Raw genomic sequence first — 24,135 nt, forward strand, 5'->3', positions numbered from 1 at the left:
TGGCCTCCCATATAACATTTTATATGGGCTTATATTAATTTTTGCTCTTGGAGAATAATGGTTTCTTAAGAGGGCTATGGGCAGTAAGTTGATCCAAGTTTCTGATGTTTCCTGACATAGCTTAGCTAATGCCAGTTTTAGAGTTTGATTAGCCCTTTCTACTTTCCCTGAGGATTGAGGCCTCCATGCTGAGTGTAAATAGTATTTAATTCTGAGAGCCTTAGCAACCCTTTGAGTTATTTGGGAGGCAGAAGACAAGCGATTATCACTTTGGAGGCTTTGGGGCAACCCAAACCAGGGGATTATTTCCTTCAAGAGAACCTTGATAACCGCATTAGCCTTATTCCGTTCTGATAGGGTAGGCTTCAACCCAGCCAGTAAAGTTGCTTCATTCTCTCCTCGACTCCAACTGTCTTTCTGGAATCAGGTGCAGTTTGCTCACAGGGTCTTAGAGTAACTGTCTTCCCAAATCTCACCCTCCTTTGTGATGTACTCCTCCCAGTCTTTTTTTTTTTTTTAATTGGATTCTACTTCTTTGGATGATGCATGCTGGTGTTTTCAAAAGGTTCCTGACTAGTTGTGTCCTTTATAAAATAATCTGATAATATTTTAGCTTCTTCCTGAATTTTGTAGCATATTTTTGAGCTTCTGCTGAACCCATTTTTGAGTCTCATGACATTTTCCATGTATGGAATTGTGCCAATAGAAACAAAATGTGGTCATATAGCCTCCCCCAACACTTCAACCAAACTGGTTTACGTCAGATCCTGGCAGCTTCTGCTGTCATTGGATCTCAGTGAGGCCTTTGCACCCATTCCCTCCCTTTGTGATTCATCCACGGACATCTCTCTCCATTGATTTGAGAACCATCTCAGCAATATTCCTTGCCTTATTCCAGTTCTCACTCCATCTCACTGCCTGCTGTTTCCTGTGAAATAAAGAAATGTCCCACACTTTAGAGAGTAAAACAAAAATTGGGGCTTAGAGAGGGTGGACTTGTCAAGAAGACACAGAGCTGTGAGTGTGGTAAGCCCTTAAAATGGGCTCAATGACATCGCTGCCTCCCAGGGATCCCTAATGTCTAAGAGTCCCAGTGAGCTGGGATGAACCCAGGGCCCAAGACGTGCTGTCTGACCCTCCCACCTCCAAAAGCACACCCAGTGCACATGGCATGAGGCTTCCATGGTGATGGTAAAGAAACGTCATCTGCCATCTCTCCCATTACTGCCGTGTCCCGTTACTGCTGAGTTGCCTGTCATCCCATTCTGTGCTGAGTGTCCAGATGTGATCAATAGAATCAAGGGGAAATGTTCTGAGAGGAAAGGGCCTGGAGTCAGACCAGGGGCTTTGAGCGCTGAGCTCAGAGCCTTCAAACCCGGGGAGCTCAACAGCAGTGCCAAGAAGAATGGGGGACATTGGGGTTTGAGTTTATGTTTGGAAGAATATAAGCATGACTTGGAGACTCCTATGTTCTTGTGTCCCCAGAAAGCAGAGCTAGGAGCCGCTGGAGGGAAGATTGGTGCTAGAAGTTCATGTGAGAACAGGGCAGACCCCTGCATAAATGCGGGGCGGGCGGGGCGGGGGAGGTCTCCCAGGCACTGCGGGTGTTTGAATCAAGGCCCAAACCCTGTGGCAGGAGTACTCTCAGGGAACTCAAACATTTATTTTACTAGGGCTTTAACATGAAGTATCAGTTCTTAAGAAAATCCACAACATGTGAGTGAAAATCTCATTTAATCGGCTATGAGATGTTATACAGGTGGAAAACTGGGTTAAGTGTTAAATTGTTATCACCAAATTGTTGCAACAAATTACCAATGCAGCAATCATGCATAGCTGTAAGGGCTCAAGTAATGGAGGGGGTGGCCAGCACCCTGGCAGAGGGAGACAGCACAGAAGGTCTTTGTGACTCAGGTCATAGAATGGAAAATGGTTTTGTGGGCAGACAATGAGAAAAGGGGGACAGAGTAGCTGTGTCCTGAAATAAAGCCTCTTAGGTGTTATTTGACCATTTGTTTCTCCATGTGAATGTGTAACTTTGATTTTAAAAATAAATAGAAAAGAGCCTCTTTCCTGACAACACCCGATCCCTGAGCCCCACAGATGGTGTTCTGGTTTCTTGCAGGAGTTTCTCTTCCCGCCTGCCTGCTCCCTTTTAGGACAAACCCACCAGCAAGGAGGTCTTCTAGCTCTTATTGTGTGTGTTCTCCTGCTGGTCCTGGCTTTGGCCCCAGGGACCTCTGGGTTCCCTCAGCTGCACTTCCATCCAGCCTCAGTGCATAGGACTCTGTGCCTGACCTCCTCCAGGCGGGGCTGCTGCCCCCAGGTGTCCAGCTGGTACGGAGCTCCCGTGGCAGCTCTCCTCTGATGACCGAGTGTGCTGGGGATGCTAAGGCTGACTTGTTGCTGGCACAGCCAAACCTTCTTTGCTGACTGTTTCAAAGACTCCCTAAAGGCTCCACGTATTTTCCTTAGAACACAGTCCTGAGCAGTCCCACCCATCCTCTTCCCCTCTCTCCCCCACACTGGGGGTCACACTTGCTTCATGGTCTAGTGGCTTACCCAGTTTTTTCTCATTCTTTTCATTATGTCTGTTCCCTCCTAAAACCCCTGCAATTTAGTTTTGGCGTCTGTTTCTCAGAGGAGCTCGGTAACAGACTCCACACTCTCTTCTCCCAGTCCCTGCTGCCCCTGTGGCAAGGTGGGCAGTTGGGGACAACAGAGCCGGCTTCCCTTGTCCAAAGCATAAGCTATTCCTTAGCAAAATGGAGCGCCGCCCCCGCAGCTAAGGGCTGCATTTCTCCTTGTTCCTGCTAGTCACATCCAGCACATCTGGGCTATCACTCTTGATGGCAACATTAGATTGGGGCCCACTGTGGTCATAACAGGGGTGGACCAGGTGGCAGAGTCTTCAGTCACCATGGAAACCCCGGCATCCAGTGCTAACAGGTATTTTAGAATAGAGGCTCAGATGCTCGCAGATGCGGCCCCAATCCTCCGCCCCCTCCCTGCAGCTGCTGGGCAGGCCTCCTGGGCTCATCACTGCCTTCTGGCAGGGCCTCAGTGGCAGCTTGCTCTGGAAGGCATCCTGACTCTGGGTTCAGGAGCTTGCTGGGCTTCTGCTTGAAAGTTTGAGGTTAGAATGTCACCTTTTCTGAGTTACATTTTTCTGCTGCAGATTTTGGACATTTCCTGAGGGACACTGAATACATGGGAGTTGATGGAGGGGAGGAAGGAGGGGCTAGAAGGAAGGAAAGGGCTATCACTGGGTGGGCCCTCTGGGACAGGGCGTAGCGCAGGGACAGTGCTAGGGGGACTTCACACGGAGGAATGAGGGGTGGGATGCAGTGACATCACAAGGGTCCCATTATGACCCCTCCTCCATCAGCTAAGGGGGGATGGGCTGAGCCTGAACAGAGGGAGAGGGGAGTAAATAAGGGGCTGTTGCCAGAGCCTGAGCCCACCAGAGAAAGTCTGTGTGCAGAGGGAGGGCCTCAGGTCCTGCTGCTCCTTCATCTTGACCCCTTCACACCCTCCTCTAACAGGGACCTCGACCTCCCTTCTCCACTCTCCTGGATCCTGCTCAGTGTGGTGCAGGCCTTCTCTGGGGCCCTGGAGTTCCCACTGACCTTCAGCCCCGCCAGTTGCATCTGCTGTTCCCACTGAAGGTTAGTGGACAGGGTGGAGGTGGCTAAAGGTGGAAAAGATACTTTGTGAGAGGGGGACCCCAACACGAGGACAGGGCACTGACGGAGCCTTTACCAAAATGCTGGGAAAGGTCTCCCCACCATCCACATATTCTCTCCCAGGCCTCAAAGGGCCCTCCCCAGTCTCCAGCTGTCAGCTTTCCCACCTCCACCTTCTCTCCTCCTTTCGGTTCTGCTTCTGAATTTCTTCAAAAATTCTCCTGCATCAAGACTCTCATGCTAGTCAGTTCCTGCCTGGGGTCACCAGACTGCTTCGAAGTCAGGAAGAACATGGTGGGGACGGTGACTTGAGTTTCCTGGACCACAGTGCAGGTGAGAAATGCACCCTACAGAGTGAAAAGGCACAGTGTCATCGTAAGGTCATTTTAAAGATGGAACTTAGACAACAGATGTCCCATAAATCCAGTCTATGAGGACACCACAAAGACTGTATCTTTTGCAAATTCTAGAAGAGAGGTTGTACTAGATTGGGAGAAAGCCCTAAAGAACAAGATCCTGTTTCTTGACACAGTTTACCCTGAAGATGCTCACTGGCCGAGCACGAACTCCCAGGTCGAGCACAAACAGCCCTCAGAGAGGAGGTGGCACTAACACTCTAGGCGGGTGGCTGCTCTTTGGTCTTCTTCTGCCTGGAGAGCTTTGCCTCCATCACTGGTGACCACCTGGGGAATTCCTTAGTGTACTCAGGGGAATTCCTGAGTGTACCCTTCAAAGGTACACTCGGATGCCCCCTCTGCAAAGACATTTTGTTCCCTTACTGTACCTCTGAAATCATTTGTATCCAAGCATTTGCAAATCCACCTGTCTTCTGTGTGTGGCTTTCTATATGGCATATCTATAGACATTGAGGGTGAAAAGCAAGGGTAAGACTCTGTTCCTTTTCTTAGGGAGCTCACAGTTCACTAGATGAGACAGAAGGAAGCCACTGACTCTGAAAGGGAACAGGATGTGGCAAAGATGGGGCAGAGGGGTGAGCACAGAGGGGATCAAGAGAAGGGGGAGAAAGACCACTGTCATCAGTGCAGCCTTTCTGGGGAGCAATGTGTGAGCTGAGCTTTGGAGAAGAAATGAGGTTTTAAAGAGTGTGGGAGAAGAGTCTTCCAAGGACTCTTCTTGGAAGACCAATGTCCCCTCCTCCCTGCCATTCCCCCTCCTGCAGCTGTTCCCTTCTTCCCTCTGTCCTTGCTCAGCACGGTCACAACGACTCTCCAAATCATGATGCTCAAAACGCCACATCTAAAAAGAACATCCGGGTAGGTGCCTCTGCTTCTTCTGACTTGGCCTCCCTTCCCTGCCCTCTTTGTGTCTCATGTAGTTCTTTCCCCTCACCCAACCTCCAAACTCCCTCTACAGCAGATGAAAAAATTTACATTTCCGAATCCCCATCTGCTTTTGTATGATTTGTATCCTCTGTGAGTCCACAAGGTGAACATATTCCTCAATTGGTTGTGATTTTTTTTTTTTTTTTGAGATGGAGTCTTGCTCTGTCACCCAGGCTGGAGTGCAATGGCACAGTCTAGGCTCACTGTAACCTCCACCTCCCCAGTTCAAGCTATTCTCCTGCCTCAGCCTCCCGAGTAGCTGGGACTACTGGTGCGTGTCACTACACCCAGCTAATTTTTGTATTTTTAGTTAGATACAGGCTTTCACCGTGTTGGCCAGGCTGGTCTCAAACTCTTGACCGCGTGATCCACCCGCCTCGGCCTCCCAAAATGCTGGGATTACAGGCATGAGCCACCGTGCCTACCCAGTTGTGGAATTTTTTAAAACATCTGCAACAGACTCTGCCCCTAAGAAAGTAAATTCAGTCACCTACAAAGAGAAAGGAAAGGGACAGCCATCTACCATTTGACTACTGAATTTCCATCTGCACCTTTCAATGTTTACTAGGACTTACATGAAACTATGTTTCAAAATACACCTTTCTTTTTATTTCTGTCAAACAAAATACACCTTTCTTCCTTGTATCTGAAAAAGTTGGCACCCTCTCTACAGAACAGGAGACGCACAGTTCCAACAGTTATTGTATACATCACTGACCATATTAATGACTCCACAAAATCAATCCTGGGTCCACCAAACATTCTGTTACCTGAAGCCTAACTTATAAAATTAAACTTCAACAACATGAATATACAACAAATGAACAGAGAGAAAAGATCAAATTGGTGAGCATATAATATAAATGTGTACGTATTACAAAGAAAAAATACAGAAAGCTACTACATATCTGTTTCTGTAATTTGTCATGAGGCTGTAATACCATTAAAATTTTTTAATTAATTAATTTATTTTTCACCACACTTCTTTTGCTTTGTGGATTCAGGCCATGATGGATACAATGACTTCTTCCTTTCATTATCCCCTCCATATTTCTCCTGCCCTCATCAAGAACCTCAATTCATCTCAGGTCTTTGTATTTTACAGTGCCCTAAACCTCCATTCCCAAAGGACTAAGTCCTCAATCATCCTGCCGTCTTTTAGTTTAGTACCTTTCCCTTAAACTTTACAACTGAATGTGGAAGTACAAAGAACCACCCTAAGAATCCCCTGGGTTGCTAACATAGCCATCCTTTGACCCACGGGGTAGCAGCAACCCAATTTTTTCTTGGAAATCAGAATCATTAACACCAACCAGACAGTCAAGTAATCCCTTGTGTCTGTTGGTTCAATAAAATAAAGAACCTAAGTATTCAGGTAGAAGTCTCATCTTCCAGTTTAATGAAGCAATTGCTGTCCTCTGATATTAACCCCCTAGGGACAAATTCCTCTAAATCATCAGAACTAAAAATTGCTGAGACAAAATGCAAAAATTCTTTAAGTGGGTTACTAGATGTGATTGTCAAAGGAGCCACACTTAATTCTATTCTTTTTTATAAACCAACATATTCTGACTATGGGGGAGACAGCACCATATATCTTCTAATTCAAAGCAGATTCTGCATCAGGTAAAACAGAACTCCATCCTTATAGGGTGTCATAACCAAATCTAAGCCATTCCACCTTTCAATTACGACAGCTGCTTCCAGAAGATAGGGGCTGTGGTGAGAACAGAACTTCCTTTGCTGCGACATGAACTGCTTCCTCAGATGATGGCTGGATTCCTGTGAATGTGGATAAAGCATTCTGTCAGTCCACAGATGGTGTTGCTGGCAGAAGCATTACAGGCAAGGCAGGCAGCTCCATCATACTCCAGGGTCACCCCTGTAATGCTGAGGCTGTCCACTTTTGTGTATTGCCAGCTTACTGCATAGGTTCAGCTGTAACCAGGTCTAAGTGTTTTCCTCAGTAAACTGGTCATAAGGAGCAGTTCATGAGGTCACAGGCATGGGGTGAAGGACAGGACACAATGCAACAGGAGTTTGTGTCAAAGGAATCTGAAGTGCCTGTTATGAAATCTACTCATATATTCCAGACCTACTCAAACTTGATCTCTTATATACCATGTCCATTTGATGATAGACTGTGCACATGCCTGATCTCTTGGCAAGGTGAGTTTGTGACGGGAAGCATTAGGCATTCAGTATCTACCAAGGCCTGGTAGCAAGACAGAAGCTGTTCTCAAAAAGAGAATAGTTATCTGTAGAAGACATGGATTTTATTCAAAAATTCTAGAGGTCAAGGTGGTCATTTTCCTATTCATCCTTTTGAGAAGCTACATACATCAACTGTTTGCCACACTTAAAGTATCATTGGGTCTGTTGAGTCAGAAGGACAAGTGATAGAGCAGCTTATACTATAGCCTGAATTTAGAGCAGAGCCTTCTTTGTCCCAGGTCCCATGTGAAACAGGAAGCCTTACAAGTATCTCTGTAGATTCACAAATGTGATACATGTTGCCTCCAAAACCCAAAAAGGCTTATCAAGAGTTGTGCCTCTTTGTGGTAGGTAGTACAAAATGCAGAAGTTGGTCTTTTGCCTTGGAGGAGATATTTCGGTGTTCTCCAGACTACTGAATCCCCAAACCTTCACTCAGGTGACCAGCCCCTGGCTTTTTGTGGGTATTATCTCCTTCAATATGGTTCACATATGTCTTATTAAGACATCTAAAGTACTTGTAACTTCCTGCTCATCAAATCCAATCAGCATAATATCATCAATATGGACCAGTATTATGTTTTGTGGAGTGTCAAGACACTCAGTATTTCTTTTCTTTCTTTCTTTTTTTTTCTTTTTTGAGATGGAGTTTCGCTCTTGCTGCCCAGGCTGGAGTGCAATGGCGCGATCTCAGCTCACCGCAACCTCTGCCTTCTGGGTTCAAGCAATTTTCCTGCCTCAGCCTCCTGAGTAGCTGGGATTACAGACATGTGCCACCATGCCCAGCTAATTTTGTATTTTTAGTAGAGACAGGGTTTCTCCATGTTAGTCAGGCTGGTCTTGAACTCCTGACCTCAGGTAATCTGCCCGCCTCAGCCTCCCAAAGTGCTGGGATTACAGGCATGAGCCACCATGTCTGGCTTAACGCTCAGTATTTCTATAGACCATGTCATGGTGGAGAACAGAATAGAGCTACCCTGTGGCAATGCTGTGAAGGTATACTGTTAGCACTACCAGGTCACAGCAAACTCTTTCTGGTGGTCCTTGAAAATTGGTATGATGAAAAACAGCTTTAGCTGAGTCAGTAGCTGCATACCAAGTTTCAAGGGTGATGATGATTTGCTCCAGTAAAGTTGTTATATCTGAGCCTGCAATTGCAATGAGAGTCTCTACCTGATTTACTTAATGATAACCCACAGCCTCTCTCCAAAACTCATCTAACTCCTGAACAGGCCAAACTGGTAAGTTACATGGGGATGTGACAGGTATCACCACTTCTTTTGAGTCTTTGATTGTGGCATTCATTGATACAATTTCTCGAGTGATGCTTTGCTTCTGGTTTATTCTTGGTAGGGAGGGGAAGTTGCAAGAACTTTCACTTGTCAAATGTACAAAAAAAGGGCAAAGCATGACTGATTTGACCAGTAAAGATACAAAAGCCATTTTTTGATTTAGATTGTTTATTATGTACGTAGACGTAGACACTGAAAGGAAGAATAGTCAAAGGTGACAGCTCCCTGTGGTTCTTGTCCCCCAACCACATCCCTACACACACACACACACACACACACACACACACACACACACATACACACACACGAAACTGAAATGAAAGGAGCCAGATGACTGCAAGACAAGTTGGAGGGTACCCACTGCTGAGGATCCAATTCTGCAACTCTGTTATGCAACTCTATTCTGAAGAGGGTGGGGTAGAAAGCCTCATACCTCATCAGAACCCAAGAGGCAATATCAGCCTCTTAGCATATATACAGGAGTGGGAAATGGCCTTACAGCAGCTCCTTATAGGCCTCTCACCCTGTGTTCCAGGAGGATAACAGGGTGTTCTGCCAAGAGTCAGATTACCTGTGATCCGTGCCTTTACCCAGAAGGCCTGTGTGGATATGTGCAAGGTTGTCAGGGTGCAAGGTGGGGGCATTCCCCTACAACTTCATGCGCCACCTCCTGCTTGTTCACATATGCAGTGAAGAATTCTTGGTAGCATAGGCCACCATTATTACATTCTTTAAGTAACTGTAAACGTATCAGACCAAGTCTGTTCTGTTTGTCTTGGGCAAAATTAGATGAGAGTGATCATGCTATTACATTAGTGCAATCAGACCATAGCCAGATGCCACATCTGGAGTTAAGCCAGTGAAATATGTTACTAACCCAGGTGCAGCATGAGGTGTTATCAACCACACACCTCCCACACTCACTGGCCAGCAGGAAGTCCAGGGCAATATGATTGTCCATTATCACTCATGCTACAGAGTTTAGAATAGTCGGTGAAAAGCATATTAAAAATTCTAACAACATGAGTGTCTGCAAAGTTAACCTTGTTCTTCCACGTCACTGGAAGCTATTTCCTGGTGCCAAGGGCTATTGGGAGGGTTCTGATTAAGATTCTATGCTGGCCAGCAGTGGAGGGTGGTGGTGGCACTCTGGGTTAAATTGGCCAGATGCCCTGCAGACAACTCCCACCACCCCTGACACTCCAGGGCCCAAGATGTTCTCTCCTCACATCAACCAGGGTTGCTCTTCTCCTTGCACAGCTGGGTGGTCAGTATGACCAGTCCTTGCAGCATTCACTTCACTGTGTTTGCAGCTCTTCCCACATCTAGCCAACACCACACATTCAGACTCATCCTTAAGTGGCTCAGGAGTTTCTTCCTTATATACTTTGTACCACCCTAAAAACTCTCTCTTCCCCACTGATGCACTGAGGTCCACCAGAACTACCTTAGGAATTGCCACCTCATATTCATGATCATTATCATCAATGTCCATAACTGCCTAAATTCAGTAAGCATAGCCAGACAGCAAAAGATGTACCATATTAGAGTCACCTATTCTCTGGCTCATTTTTGCTACTCCGAAATTCCAGTAGCTCAGAAGTAGACACAGAAGATAGTGCAAGAAGTGTTAATTATGTGGTTTGGGAATTTTATAGGCTGCCTGGGCCTCCTCTGTTCCAATCTGTCACAAATTCTATTTAAATATAATAGAAGGTACCATTTCAGGGAACTGCCACATTTTTTGCCCAAAGTGCCTTCATGATGATTATGCTCCACTTGGTGCATAGGCTTCACTGTTAGTTACCTTTATCCGTTTCTCTTTAAGGGCAGCACATTCCATCTTTTAATGGCTCCTGGCACCAGGGCAGTACAGGTCTCCTGATCAGCTTGTGGATTTCAGTGATGTCCATTATTGAAGGGTCTTTTTTCTTGGCATCCACAAGTGTCACAAACCGGGGGTTGAAATCTTGTGCAATCTGCACCATAATATTTGTCCTCATGGAAGCTACAACTTGATCGTCCAGTCATCTCATCACCAGCACCACACTGCCAATTCCACTGTTGACTGCCCACAAGTCAGTGAATTGTAACAAGGTGCATTTTGGGGGCAGGGGGGTGTTTCTAGGGCAAGTGTTGGCCGGCAACTCCACCAACTGAGCAGAGTTCCTTTTTCCATGCAGTTTTGGGCAATTTCCTTTGGGGCTCCACAGCAGCAGCAGCCCAATATCCCCCACTGGTCTTGAACTTAGCTGACCCATCTGTGAACCAAGCCCAGGTATCCTCAAGGACTTCAGTGCACTAAAGTCCCCAAGAAGCCCACGGTGCTGGCACAGATCCTGTGTCTGAGACAGCCACATCTAGAGGGTGACTAGGCACTTTTTCATGTAGCTGTGAGATGCCATTAATGTCTAGTTTACTTCTTTCCTGGATGTAACACCTCCATTAGTAATGGATGCTTGTCGGGCAATATCCACTTTGTTAGACTTCTCATTTCTGCCCCACCCCAGGATAGGGATGTTGGCGTGTAACAACACGTACTGTTACTCCCGCTTATGTACTTGTGCCTCTCCATTGTTCTACTTTGTATTTTCTTACAGGGAATGTCCTTTACAGTTAAACATAGTATTACATACACACTCTACATGTATTCCCACAATACATTCAGCATTATTAATTACAGCCACTCCAGTGTATATTGGCACAAAAGGGCCCACCCACAAAGATATATCAGCCCATTGTTCAGAGTTACTTCCAAATCCAGTTAATTTTTCAAAATGGGCATAGACATTTCTTGGCATGTCCATGACTTGTGACCCTGTGTCCAGAAGAATTGACATGTTTGGCAACCTTGGTTGCCATCAAGTCTCTGACACACCTTGCCGGGCATAAGGCCTCACGTTTTATTATGGACTGAAGTTCCTCAGCCTCTGCCCTGATGCAGTTTATTCTTGAAGAGTTTGAAGTCAGGGTAGAAGGTGGAGTTAGATGCATTAGATACATCCCTGTCCTCACAGCACAGACCTCAGCATGGAGATTCAGGTCTTTCTGGTCATCCTGCAGTTTCTTCACAGTCAGCACCAAAGCTGCTCAGGCATCTTCTCCTGATAACTGCTCAGAGCTTTAAGTGTGTTTGCCCTCTCATGGACTGATAAGAGAGAATTTCCCTCATGGGAAGTTCATCAGTATCTGCTCTTTGGGAATCACCTGGCATTGTAGCCATGTCCACATGGTCCTATGGTTTGGATCTTTGGTTAGATTTTTCTTCCTCCTTATCCTGAAGGCATTTCCCTTGGTGCCTGGAAAGGGCTCACTCAGTGGGCCTCGGCTGCTCAAACCCTGCATATTCCCCAGAAAAGCCTGTCTTCAGGACTGGACTTTGGTGATTTAGGTCACTCATATTAGACAAAGACCTGAGACAAATTGAGGTTCTCAGTGAGGACCGGGAAAATATGGAATGGGTAGTGAAACAAGAAAACAAACGTACCATCATGGCCTGATTCCACAAAATAAAAGAAGCGTAGTGAAAAGAATAAATATTTTTAAAATAAATTTTTATATTTTTTAAATATATTTTTTAAAAGGTGTCGTGGCCTCATGATAAATTACAAAATCAAGTGTGGTAGTAGCTTTGCATATTTGTAATATGTACACATTAATATTATACGCTCACCACTTTTATTTTTCTCTCCATTCATTTGTTGTATATACATGTTGTTGGAGTTTAATCTTACAATGTAGTCTTAAGGTAACAGAATATTTGGTGGACCTATGATGGATTTTGAGGAGTGACTAATATGGTCAGTGATGTATACAATAACTGTTGGAACTGTGCATCTCCTTATTCGGTGTAGAGGGTGCAAACTTCTTTACATACAAGGAAGAAAGTTCTGTTTTGTTTGATAGGAATAAGAGTTGTCACACTGTTTCATGAAAGTTCTAATAAGTGTCGAAGGGTGCAGGTGGAAACTCAGTAGTCAAATGGTGGATGGCTGTCCTTTCCTTTCTCTTTGTAGGTGCATGAATTTACTTTCTCAGTGGCAGTGTGTATTTTAGACGTTTTAAACATTCCATAACGAAATATGAGGAATATGTTCACCTTGTTGACTCAAAAAGTATTTAGATCATAGACAAGCAGATATAGGATTCAGAGATACAAATTTTTCATCTTCTGTCAAAGGAGTGTGGAGGCTGGAAAGAATTACATCCAAAAGAGAAGGGAGGACGAGTCAGAAGAGGGCAGAGAAGGGAGGTCAATTCAGAAGAAGCAGAGGCACCAACCCTGATGTTCTTTTTAGAAGTGGCATTTTGAGTGTCATGATTTGGAGAGTCGCTGTGGCTGTTCCAAGCAAGGAGAGAGGGGAGAAGGAAACAGCTACAGGAGGAGGAGCAGCAGGGAGGAGGGGCATTGGCCATTCCATACTGCTCTGGAAGGCTCTTCTTATTTATTTATTTATTTATTTATTTATTTATTTATTCATGTTTTTTTGAGACAGGGTCTCACTCCGGTTGCCCAGGCTGGAGTGTACTGGTGCGATCTCAGCTCACTGCAGCCTTGACCTTCCAGGCTCAGGTGATTCTCCCACCTCAGCCTCCCAAGTGGCTGTAACCACACATGCGTGCCACCATGCTTGGCTAATTTGTTGTATTTTCAGTAAAGATGGGGTTTCACCTTTTGCCACACTTAAAGTATCATTGGGTCTGTTGAGTCAGAAGGACAAGTCATAGAGCATCTTGAGACCACCTTGTTGCCCAGGCTGGTCTCAAGCCCCTGGATTCAAGCTGTCCACTTGCCTTGGCCTCCCAAAGTGCTGAAACTACAGGAGTGAGCCACCACATCCAGCTTCCTTATTTCTTCTCCAAAGCTCAACTCACACATTGCTCCCCAGAAAGGTTGCACTGATGACAATGGTTTGTCTCCCCTTTCTCTTGATCCTGTCTGTGCTCACTCCTCTGCCCCATCTTTGCCACACTCTGTTTCCTTTCAGAGTCGGTGGCTTCCTTCTGTCTCATCCAGTGAACTGAGAGCTCCTTAAGGAACAGAGTCTTACTCTTGTGTTTCACCTTCAATGTCTATAGTTATGCCACATAGAAAGCCACACACAGAAGACAGATAGATTTGCAAGTTCTGGGATAACAAACTGTTACGAGGTAAAAAGTCTTGACTCTGAGTTGTCCAGGCTCATGGGGCATTGAACAAAGAATGAACAAAACACTCAGCCAAAGCAACAAAAGAGCAAAGCAATGAAAGAAGCAACAAAAGCACAGATTTGTTGTGCACAAACAAAGCAAAAAAAGAATGAAGCAATGAAAGCACAGATTTATTGAAGCAAAGTACACTCCACAGAGTGGAAGCCAACTTATGTAAAGGGCTCAAGAGCGCTGATTACAATGTTCTTTAGGGTTTTAAGCTATTAATAATTTAGCAACACCCCTAGGTGCCCTTTAGAGGCCTCCAATTGGTTACACCCTATGAAGGACTTACCCAGGATGAAACAAAAGGCTGAAGTGGAAACTTCTGTTTTGTTATAACAGGAGTGAGGATGTGGCCTATATGCTGTCTAGAGCTGGCTGCACCTGCTGTTCTTTTGCTTATGCCTTAACCGTTGTTTACCCTAATTCCCTATTCTCCTCTCTCAAAATGATTTCAGAGGCACTGTAAGGGAACAAAATGGCCTTGCAGAGTGGGCGTCCGAGTGTACCTTTGAAGAGTAATTCCTGGGAATTCCCAAGGTGGGCACCAGTGATGGAGGCAAAGCTCTCCAGGCAGCAGAAGACCATAAGTCTTAGGTGTCAGTGCCACCCACTTAGGGTGTCAGTGCCACCTCCTCTCAATGCCATTGGTACCAATGATGGTGCCATTGTTGAAGGCTGTTTGTACTCCACCTGGGAGTTTATGCTCGGCCAGGAAGCTTCACCGGTGTAAACTGTGGCAGGAGACAGGGACTTAATTCTGAGGCCTCTCTCCCAACCTGGTAAAACTTCTCCACTAGAATTTGCAAACAAGAAAAAAATGTGGTATTTGCAGTGCCCTCATAAACAGGATCTCAAAGATTCTCCCCTCCTCATCCATCAGATGCCCCAGGCTGGAGGGTGGCCCCAGAAGAACACTTTCTAGCCCCTGCCTCCCTCCCCCCATCCACCCCCATCTATTCAGCATCCCTCAGAAAACATCCCAAGTTTGTAGCAGAAAACAGAAGTGTAAATCAGAAAAGGTAACATTCACACTTCACACCTTCATGTAGAAGCCCAGCAAGCTCTTGAACCCAGAGCCGGGATGCCTTCCAGAGCCGGCTGCTGCCAAGACCCTGACAGAAGGCAGTAGAGGGAGGGGGCCTGCTCAGAAGCTCAAGCATCTGATCCTCCATTACAAAACACCTGCTAGTGCTGCATAGCTGGGATTTCCATGACGACTGAAGACAAGACTGCCACCTTGTCTACTCCTGCCATGGCCACAGTGGTCTTCAATGTAATGTTGCCATCCAAGTGGTAGCCCAGATGTGCTGGATGTGACTAGCAGGAACGTGTGCAAAACATAGCCCTTAGCAGGGCCCAGCCTTACTAAGAGGTCATGTATGCTCTGGGCAAGGCCAGGCTGGCTCTATGGTCTGCAACTGTCAGCCTCACTACAGGGGCAGCAGGAACTGAGAGAAGAAGGGTTGAAGTCTCTGTTCCTCAGCTCCTCTGAGAAGCAGACGCCAAGAGCAGATTAAACTGCAAGGGTTTTAGGAAGGAACATAACATTGTGAAAATTATGAAGGACTGGGTGAGCCATCAGACCTTAAAGCAAGTATCAGCCCTAGTGGGAAACAGAGGGGAAGAGGATGGGCGGGACTGCACAGAACTGTATTCTAAGGAAAATCCATGGTGCCTTTAGGGAGTCTTTGAAACAGCCAGCAAATAAGTTCTGGGCGTGCCAGCAGCAAGTTGGCCTTAGCACCCCCACCACACTCGGTCATCAGAGGAGAGCTGCCACGGGATGCCCATACCAGGTGGACACCTGGAGGGAGCAGCCCCGCCTGGAGGAGGTCAGGCACACAGAGTCCTAGGCACTGAGGTTGGGCACCACGGATGGAAGTGCAGCTGAGAGAACCCTGAGGTTCCTGGGCTCCCTGGGGCCCAAGCCAGGACGAGCAGGTGAACACACACAGAAGGAACTAAAAGACCTCCTTGCTGGTGGGGTTGTCCTAGAAGGGGGCAGGCGGGTGGGACCCAGAACCTCCTGCAAGAAACCAGAATACCATCTGTGGGGCTCAGAGATTGGTTGGTTTTAAGAAAGAGGCTCCTTTCTACTTATTTTAAAAATCAAAATTATACATTCACAGGTAACAAATGGTCAAATAACACCTAAGAGGCTTTACTTCAGAAAACAGCAACTGTCCCCCTTCTTTGCCATTTGCTCTCTTTGATCTGAGTCACAAGGACCTTCTCCAGTGCTATCTCCCTCTCCCAGAGTGATGGCCACCCACTCTGTTACCTGAGCTTTGTATGATTGCTTCATTGGCAATTTTTTGCAACAATTTGGTAGTAATTTGACAGTTAACCTGTTCTTCCAGGTGTATGGCATCTCATAACAGAGTAAATTAGATTCTCATATGTTTCCAATTTTCTTAAGAATCAATATTCCTTATGTTAAAGCCCTGATAAAATACATGTTTGAGTTCCTTGGGAGTGTCCCTGCCACGGTGTTTGGGCCGTGATTCAAACAGAGAGATCCCACATTTATGCAGGGGTCTGCCCTGTTCTCACCTGAACTTCTAGCACCATTCTCTCCTCTGGCGACCCCTAGCTCTGCTTGATGGGGGCATATGAACATCAGGAGTCTCCAAATCATGCTTATATTCTTCGAACATAAACTTGGACCCAAATCCACCCCCATTCCCCTTGGCATTGCTGCCAAGCTCCCAACACTTGAAGGCCCTGAACTCCTTGCTGAACAGCCCTAGTCTGACTTCAATCCACTCTCCACTCCCAGAGTCTGGCCCCCTCCCCTCAGGCCTCAATTTTCTCCTGATTCTATTGATCACATCTGGACATTTGGCACAGAATAGGATGAGAGGGGACATGGCAGTAATGGGAGAGATGGCAGGTGAGGTTTCTTTACCATCACCATGGACGCCTCAGGCCATGTGCACTGGGTGGGGCTTTGGAGGTGAGGAGGTCAGAGAGTTCTTCTTAGGCCCTGGGTTCATCTCAGCTCACTGGAACCCTCAGACATTAGGAATCCCTGGGAGGTAGCGGTGTCATTGAGCCCCATTTCAAGGGCTTACCACACTCCCAGCTCTGTGTGATATTGACAAGTTCACCCTCTCTGAGCTCCAATTTTTGTTTTTACTCTTTAAAGTGTGGGACATCTCTTTATTCCCGAGTGAACAGCAGAAAATGAGATGGAGTGAGAGCCGAAAGAAGGCAAGGAATATTCCTGAGATTGTTCTCAAGGAGATGGGGATGTCCGTGGATGAATCACAAAGGGAGGAAATGGGTGCAAAGGTCTCACTGAGATCCAATGACAGCAGAAGCTGCCAGTCTAAGATCTGGACCAGATTTGAAGTTTTAGGGGAGCCTATATGACAGCATTTTGTTTCTACTGGCATAACTTCATACATGAACAATGTCATAGCACTCAAAAATGGGTTTAGGAGAGGCCTAAAAATATGCCACAAAATTCAAGAAGCTAAAATACTATCAGATTATTTTTTAAAGACACAATCAATCAGAAAACTTTAGAAAACGCCAGCATGCATCATCCAAAGTAATAGATTCCAGTTCAAAAAGAGAGAGAGAAAGACAGGAATACAGCAGAAACTCAGAGGTAAGTGAGATTTGGGAAGACAGTTACTTTGTAGGATGCTGTGAGCAACCTGCACTTCAGTCCAAAAAGACAGCTGGAGTCAAAGAGAGAATGAAGCAGAAGTTGCACCCCAGGCAAATAAATATTTGGTGAGAAAAGCTTCTAATATCATCTCCAGGAAGATCTGGTCATAAAATCCTTCCAGAGAGAGGTCCTCAAACCCAAATTCACTTCTTGGGGCCAAACACTGAAATTGGCTGAACCCCTGTCTACCCCCACCATGTTTCACCTGCAAGGCTTTTCTCTCCTTTAAATGAGATGAGCTAAGAATGGAACCCGTGTTTGAGGATGGTACTTCATCTTCACTTGACCATAACTTGCTTACACCTTTAGGGTAAATGTAATACTTTCAATACTTTTGCTCTCTATAATTAAAAACCAAAGCAAAACCCCACACCAATAACTTCATCAAGAGATTCTCACTTGGGCATTGGACCCATTGGCCACATCAAACTCTGATCTGTATACTCTGGGGGGATTAGAATATGCCCAGTTGGTAGAGCACCTGACCAGCTGGGAAAGCACTTGCCCTTCACCTCATTCCACCCTCAAAACAGAGGGTCCAGGAGGACAAGGACTGCCAAGGTGCTAAGAAGTTCTGTCACCCAATGTTGCTCCGGGCAGCAAATTGTAAGGAGGAGTAGCACTCACCAAGAGACCTAGGGCCTGCCTTGGATCCCTGCACATAGAACTTAATGGCAGCCCTCAGTGTACTAGTGAAGACATTTATCTTATTAAGGAGAGAAAAGAGGCACAAAGAAGCTGGTCGAACTTGCCCAAGATCACACAGCCAGCCCAAGGCCCAGCTTGCTTTGAGCTCAGGCACCCAACTCCACATCGTCTGATACATTCTGGTTCCTCTGACTTCTTCCCATCTGAAGCTCCCTGCTCTGCGTTCAGATGCCCCCTCTGACTCGCTGCTCAGGAACATAGGCTTCCACAGACAGAGGTAAGGATATGAACCAGCCAGGCTGGCAAGGACTGAATCCAAATCCCAGGTTTCTCTCCAAGTCCAGGCCTTTCCTGGCAGATATGAGCAGCAAGACCAGGGTAGCCACAGAGGCGAGCTCGGCTGGGTGGAAACTCCCTGAATAGCCAAGTGTGCATGGGATTCTTCCAGGGGACAGCCTGGTCCTGTCCTGTTCCGGGTAGGAGGCACTGGGCATCTGGGCACTCAAAACCTACCACTGTAAAGAAGACTGAACCAGTAAGGCCACACGCCGGGCACGGGGCCCCATTTTCAGAGGATGGAGCCAGGCCTGTCGGGGCTGCTCATGTGTCCACCTCCTTCAGGCTCCCTCATTATCCAAACGGCATTTCCACACATGGGAATTTGCAAAAGGAGAGAGTGAAAGGCCCAGGGCATTTCTGTGGTCTGTACTAACCCTCAAAGATACTCTTGGTCTGTGTGATCCTCATTTTCAAATTAGAGGCTAAAGATGGACAAGGCCGGTAGCAGAGTGTGCAGGTCGCCTGGCCAGCCCTGCATTTACTCCTCTCTCCAGGCAGAGTGGCCAGTGCCACTTGCCCACGCAGCAGTCACGTGAGGTCCATCCTCTGGGAAGGTCCTCCCTGATGGCCCCTCTGCGATTCTGACCACAGGATGCCCGCAGCACAGCAGAGTCCCAGGTGGAGCAGAATCGGCCATGAGAATAAGCTTGGTTCCGAGGACTTTCTGCTGTTATGTCTGTAATTACTAAACTTTTTTCATATAATTGCATTTTTCAAACATATAAGGATGACAAAAAAATAATATAACAGGTAAACAGAAGTGCCATTTTGCTTCCACGGCTCCGGCCTCCTAAGGGGCAGGAAAGCAGGTGACCTTATTCCTGGTATTAAAATGGCATGGCTGGAGTTCAGGTGGGCTGATGGGAAGCTGTGCATCCTATAGCACCCTGGAATGGCTGAAATTAAGTATTTTATATGGCAAAATTGACTCATGGAGCAGAAATAGCCTGCTCATATGGACATGGAAGCAAGATGTCCTTCAGGCCCCTAAACCTCTTCTGAGCCTCTTCGCCTGCAGATAGCTGGGCAGGCGTGTCTGACCATCCCATGTGGCCAGGGTCCATCTTCAGCAGTTGTGGATTGAGGCCTTTGTCCTTGTCTGTGCTGATTTGAGAGGTACTGGAGAAAGGCTGTGGTGTCTTGGTCTTCGTCTCCAGTGTTAGCCACTGCAATGGCAGGGGGAGGAGGTGGTGGGCTGAGAGCATGGACAGTGCAAAGGCAGTCATGGCTGATTGCTAGAGAGAAAGATGAAGGAGACATTAACTCTTCTCCTGAAGCACAAATCAGAACAGATATTTTTCACGTGTTGAGCATGTATGTGCCCCACCTGGGTACTGGGCAGCATTTCTGATTGAACACTGCCGCAGTGCTTGATGCAGGTTTACGTGAGCCCCAGTTTCACGAGGGGGTCCCCTCTCCTCCCTCCCTTGGATGTCTCATGTCTCCATCTGCACTCTTAGTGGCCTGGTCTTTCTCTGAGACAATTCCAGGCTGGTTCCCCTGCTTTGCTATCCCCCACAACCTCTCCCACACCATTGCCCAGCTCCCAAGAGCTCACTGTGGCTGAGGAAAGGGGGTGCCTTGACACGGAGTTCCCTTCACATGAGGGTCCCCAGACATTCCTCCTGGAAGTGCTCCACCAGGACCCCTGCCACATGTGCCTCTTGGTGCAGGGAGGAGAGGAGAGCAGGTTGTGTCTGATGTGGGTGTGTCTGTGTGCAATGGCTGCTTGTATCCTTGTGTGTTGTGTACCTGCTCAGCAAACTGAGTCCTGTGGCCAAGAATGATCCTGGGCAAAACTGAGCACATTTAACCCAAGTTTGATTTCAACTCAACACTTTCCCACTGTGCCTCCTTCTCATCCCAAATGTGCCAAATACTTCTAATCTTAGTATTCATTCTTTGCTTTGTCTGTCAGGTCCTGTTCTCTACGAGTGAATATCCTAATGACCATAATAAAGCCAGTTCCCTTTTTGGGGACTGACATTTGTTGAGAACTCCCCCTATGAATGCTGTCTTGCTGCAAAACTTCACCTCTGGATAAAGTGGCTGTGCTCCTTCTGGATGTCTGCATCAGGGCTGCTGAGGCACAGCTGAGAATGCACCACACAGCTGACTACGCTGCTGAGCAAATCTCATTACTAAATGCACATCCCTTTCAAGGATGCCAGGCGTTAGGGCTGCATTGCAACTTTGATGGACACTGGGGATTAATGCCTGTGTGTCCTTGTTCCATTAAAAAGTTTGAAGTTTGCTGGGTGCGGTGGCTCACACCTGTAATCCCAGCACTTCGGGAGGCCAAGGCGGGCAGGTTACGAGGTCAGGAGATCGAGACCATCTTGACCAACACGGTAAAACCCTGTTTCTACTAAAATACAAAGAAGTAGCCAGGCGTGGTGGTGGGTGGCTGTAGTCCCAGCTACTCGGGAGGCTGAGGCAGAAGAATGGCTTGAACCTGGGAGGAGGAGGTTGCAGTTAGCCGAGATGGAGCCACTGCACTCCAGCCTGGCAACACAGCAAGACTCTGTCTCAAAAAAAAAAAAAAAAAAAAGAAAGAAAAAGTTTGAAATTTGATTTTATGAGTTACTGGTATAATGATAAATATATTAATATCATAGGCCAGGCGTGGTGGCTCACACCTGTAATCCCAGCACTTTGGGAGGCCGAGGCGGGTGGATCACGAGGTCAGGAGATCGAGACCACGGTGAAACCTCATCTCTACTAAAAATACAGAAAAAATTAGCCGGGCGCAGTGGCGGGCTCCTGTAGTCCCAGCTACCCGGGAGGCTGAGGCAGGAGAATGGCGTGAACCCGGGAGGAGGAGCTTGCAGTGAGCCGAGATCACGCCTCTGCACTCCAGCCTGGGCGACAGAGCAAGACTGCGTCTTAAAAAAAAAAAAAATCACATAGTTCAATTTTTTTTTCTTCTGACTGAAATTGACACTCTTTGGTGGGCCTGTAAGTTTCCTGGCCCTGGTCACTGTGCCCACCCTGCCCATGGCTAAGGGGTCCTAGCAGCAAGCATGTATGTGGCTGGCCCCTACACCCTCCCACTCTGCCAGAGATTTTTTCCAAAAGGAATCTCCCTGCACGGAGGGCGGAGCTCGAGATCTCCATGTCGCGGGGTGGCTCCGAGGTCACCACTGCCCAGCATGTCTCTGGCTGCTGACAGGACTCTGTGCTTTCTTAACTCCTTGATGGAGTTCCTGGAGTTGGAGGGAAGCGCTTCCCACCAGAAACCCACTTGTGTCGGTTTTTCTTCCATTCGAAACAAATGATCAAAGTGATAGCGTTTTCTATGTTACGTGTCTGTCTCTGGTCACTTAAAAACAAAACAGAGCAGGGTGTCCCCTGACAGCCCAGGAGAAGAACAGGAAGGCAGCCCTGGGGTTACCTGTCAAGGTTCAGATCATGACCTCCGCAACGGCCACGGCTGGGTGACATCGTCACTCCCCAGGGGACAGGCGATCCCCTCCTCACCCCACAGCTCAGACCCCAGGATCGGCCCCAATCCCTGTGTCCTGAGCTCCTCCTACTTCCCCTTTCCATCCCAGCCAGCTCCGAAGGAGGCCGGCCCTGTGAGACAGGGAGGGGTCCAGCCTGGGACCCGGCCTGAGCCGGGAGGGAGGGCTTGTCTTGCTCCGGCCCCTGTGATGAGTCCCCTCTTACCCGGCAGGTGGTGACTCCCCATCCGCGGAGGCTCCCCCGCTGACCCCAAGTCCCCACCGCTCTGTCCTTCTCCAAGGCCCGGTGCAGGAGCACCCTTTGTCCCTGGGTGGCCTGACCCTGCTGACCACGGGTCACCTCCCTGACCACGAATACTCTGCCAACTGCCTCCTGAGTGACCGAGACAGCTCAGTCTAGAGTCTCGACTACCCGGGGTGACCCAATAGTCCCGACTCCCCGAGACAGGGACCCGGAGACGTGGGCTTTGTCAGTTTAACAGATTCTGCCTCCGGGAACCAACTGCCGGGAGATTCTGATTGGCTCAGCCGCGTGCCCACGTGACCGACCAAAACCGGCCACCAGGGTCTCCCAACTGCCTGTCAAACGCACAGCCCTGTTGGGCCCCCGGAGAGGAAGAGCCGAGAAGGAGGCCAGGCCGGGGGTCAGGTGGCTTCCTCTATGGGCCCTTTAATCCACCTCACTTTTTTATCTTCTTTTTTTTCCCAGCAGCTTTATTAAGTTATAATTCACACACGATGTAATTCGCCCATTTAAAATGTACAATGGGCCCGGCGCGGTGGCTCACGCCTGTAATCCCAGCACTTTGGGAGGCCGAGGGGGCAGCGGGGATGGGGGTGGCGGGTCACCTGAGGTCATGAGTTCAAGACCAGCCTTGCCAACATGGCAAAACCCTGTCTCTACTAAAGATACAAAAAATATCCAGGCATAGTTGTGTGTGCTTGTAATCCCAGGTACTCGGGAGGCTGAGGCAGGAGAATCGCTTGAACCTGGGAGATAGAAGTTGCTGTGACCTGAAATCGCACCACTTCACTCCAGCCTGGGTGACAGAGTGAGACCCTGTCTCTAAAATAAAATGAAATAAAATAGAATATACACTGGTTCTTAGTATAGTCACAGAATTGTGCAATCATCGGCACCATCTAATTTGAGAACATTTTCTATATATATGTAGAGAAAGGGGTCTTGCTATGTTGTCCAGGCTGGTCTTGAACTCTTGGGGTGAAACCATCCTCCTTCTTCAGCCTGTGCAATACCTATGCTTGCACGGGTGCAAGCATCAGCATTACAGGCATGAGATGCCTCACCTGGCCCAGAACTTAGTTTTTTACTGAAAAATATTCCCTTGTATGCATATATGATATTTATCCAGTCATCAGCTGATGGACTTTTGAACTGTTTCCACTTCTGTTTATTATGAATAAAGCTGCTATGAGCATTTGTGTAGAAGTTTGTGTAGATTTATGTTTTCATTTCTGCTTATATAAGTAGGAGTATAATTTCTGGGTCAAAGTATAACTGTGTAGTTTTTGAGAGGAATTGCCAACCTGTTTCCCCTCTTCTTTTTTTTTTTTTTTCTTTTTTTTTTTTTTCAGAGATGTGGTCTCACTCTGTCACCCAGGCTGGAGTGCAATGGCACAAACACCACTCACTGCAGCATCAACCTCCTGGGCTCAAGTGACCCTCCTGTCTCAGCTCCTTAAGTAGCTGAGACTACAGGAACATGCCACCATGCCTGCATAATGTTTTTTTGTTTGTTTCTTTGTTTGTTTGTTTGTTTGTTTGTAGAGACAGGGTTTCATCATGTTGCCCAGGCTGCTCTCGAACTCCTGACCTCAGGCAATCCACCCATCTTGGCCTCCCAATTGCTGGGATTACAGGCATGAGACACAGCACCTGGCCGCCAATCTGTTTTCTAAAGTGGCTGCACCATTTCACATTCCCACCAGCAGTGATGAGGGTTTTTTCCTCCATCCTTGCTAACACTTGTTCTTGTCTGTAGATTTTATCATAGCCATCCTAAGGGGTAGAAGGTGGCATCTCATTGTGCGTTTGATTTGCCTTTCCCTAATGACTAATGGTGTTGAGCATCATATCATGTGATTATTGGCAATTTGTGTATTATCTTTGGAGAAATGTCCATGCACATTTTTCACTCATTTTTCACTTAGGTTATTTTCCTTTTGTTGAGTTGTAAGAGTTCCCTGTGTATTCTAATACAAGTCCCTCATGAGATAAACAAGTTGCCAGGTTTTTCTCCCATCCTATGGCTT

General features: G+C 47.2%; 2 long non-coding RNA genes across 5 annotated transcripts, besides 1 other annotated feature; one reads left to right on the forward strand and one right to left on the reverse strand.

Moving 5' to 3' along the window:
• The first annotated feature begins 3,452 nt into the window (after positions 1-3,452).
• On the forward strand, positions 3,453-20,371 carry LOC124904863 (uncharacterized). Of its 4 annotated transcripts, none has more exons than XR_007067507.1 (4): positions 3,453-3,668; positions 3,810-4,019; positions 4,867-4,960; positions 5,703-5,778. It is a non-coding gene; the product is annotated as an uncharacterized LOC124904863 (long non-coding RNA). The 4 variants fall into 4 exon arrangements; XR_007067510.1 differs by having other exon boundaries at positions 3,578-3,668; positions 4,898-4,960; XR_007067508.1 differs by having other exon boundaries at positions 3,578-3,668; positions 5,685-5,769.
• LINC00654 (long intergenic non-protein coding RNA 654) lies at positions 13,836-22,365 on the reverse strand. Its single transcript, NR_015406.2, has 2 exons — positions 22,067-22,365; positions 13,836-19,632 (listed from the first exon to the last, which is right to left on the reverse strand). It is a non-coding gene; the product is annotated as a long intergenic non-protein coding RNA 654 (long non-coding RNA).
• Positions 22,111-22,220: an enhancer, noted in NCBI's record as "active region_17518". NCBI's record gives its function as "activates an Ori minimal core promoter by ATAC-STARR-seq in GM12878 lymphoblastoid cells {active_cell/tissue: GM12878}" and the evidence as "EXISTENCE:reporter gene assay evidence [ECO:0000049][PMID:35858748]".
• Positions 22,366-24,135: the final 1,770 nt, after the last annotated feature.

This window comes from Homo sapiens, chromosome 20 (assembly GCF_000001405.40).
Source record: "Homo sapiens chromosome 20, GRCh38.p14 Primary Assembly".
NCBI classification, from domain to species: domain Eukaryota; kingdom Metazoa; phylum Chordata; class Mammalia; order Primates; family Hominidae; genus Homo; species Homo sapiens.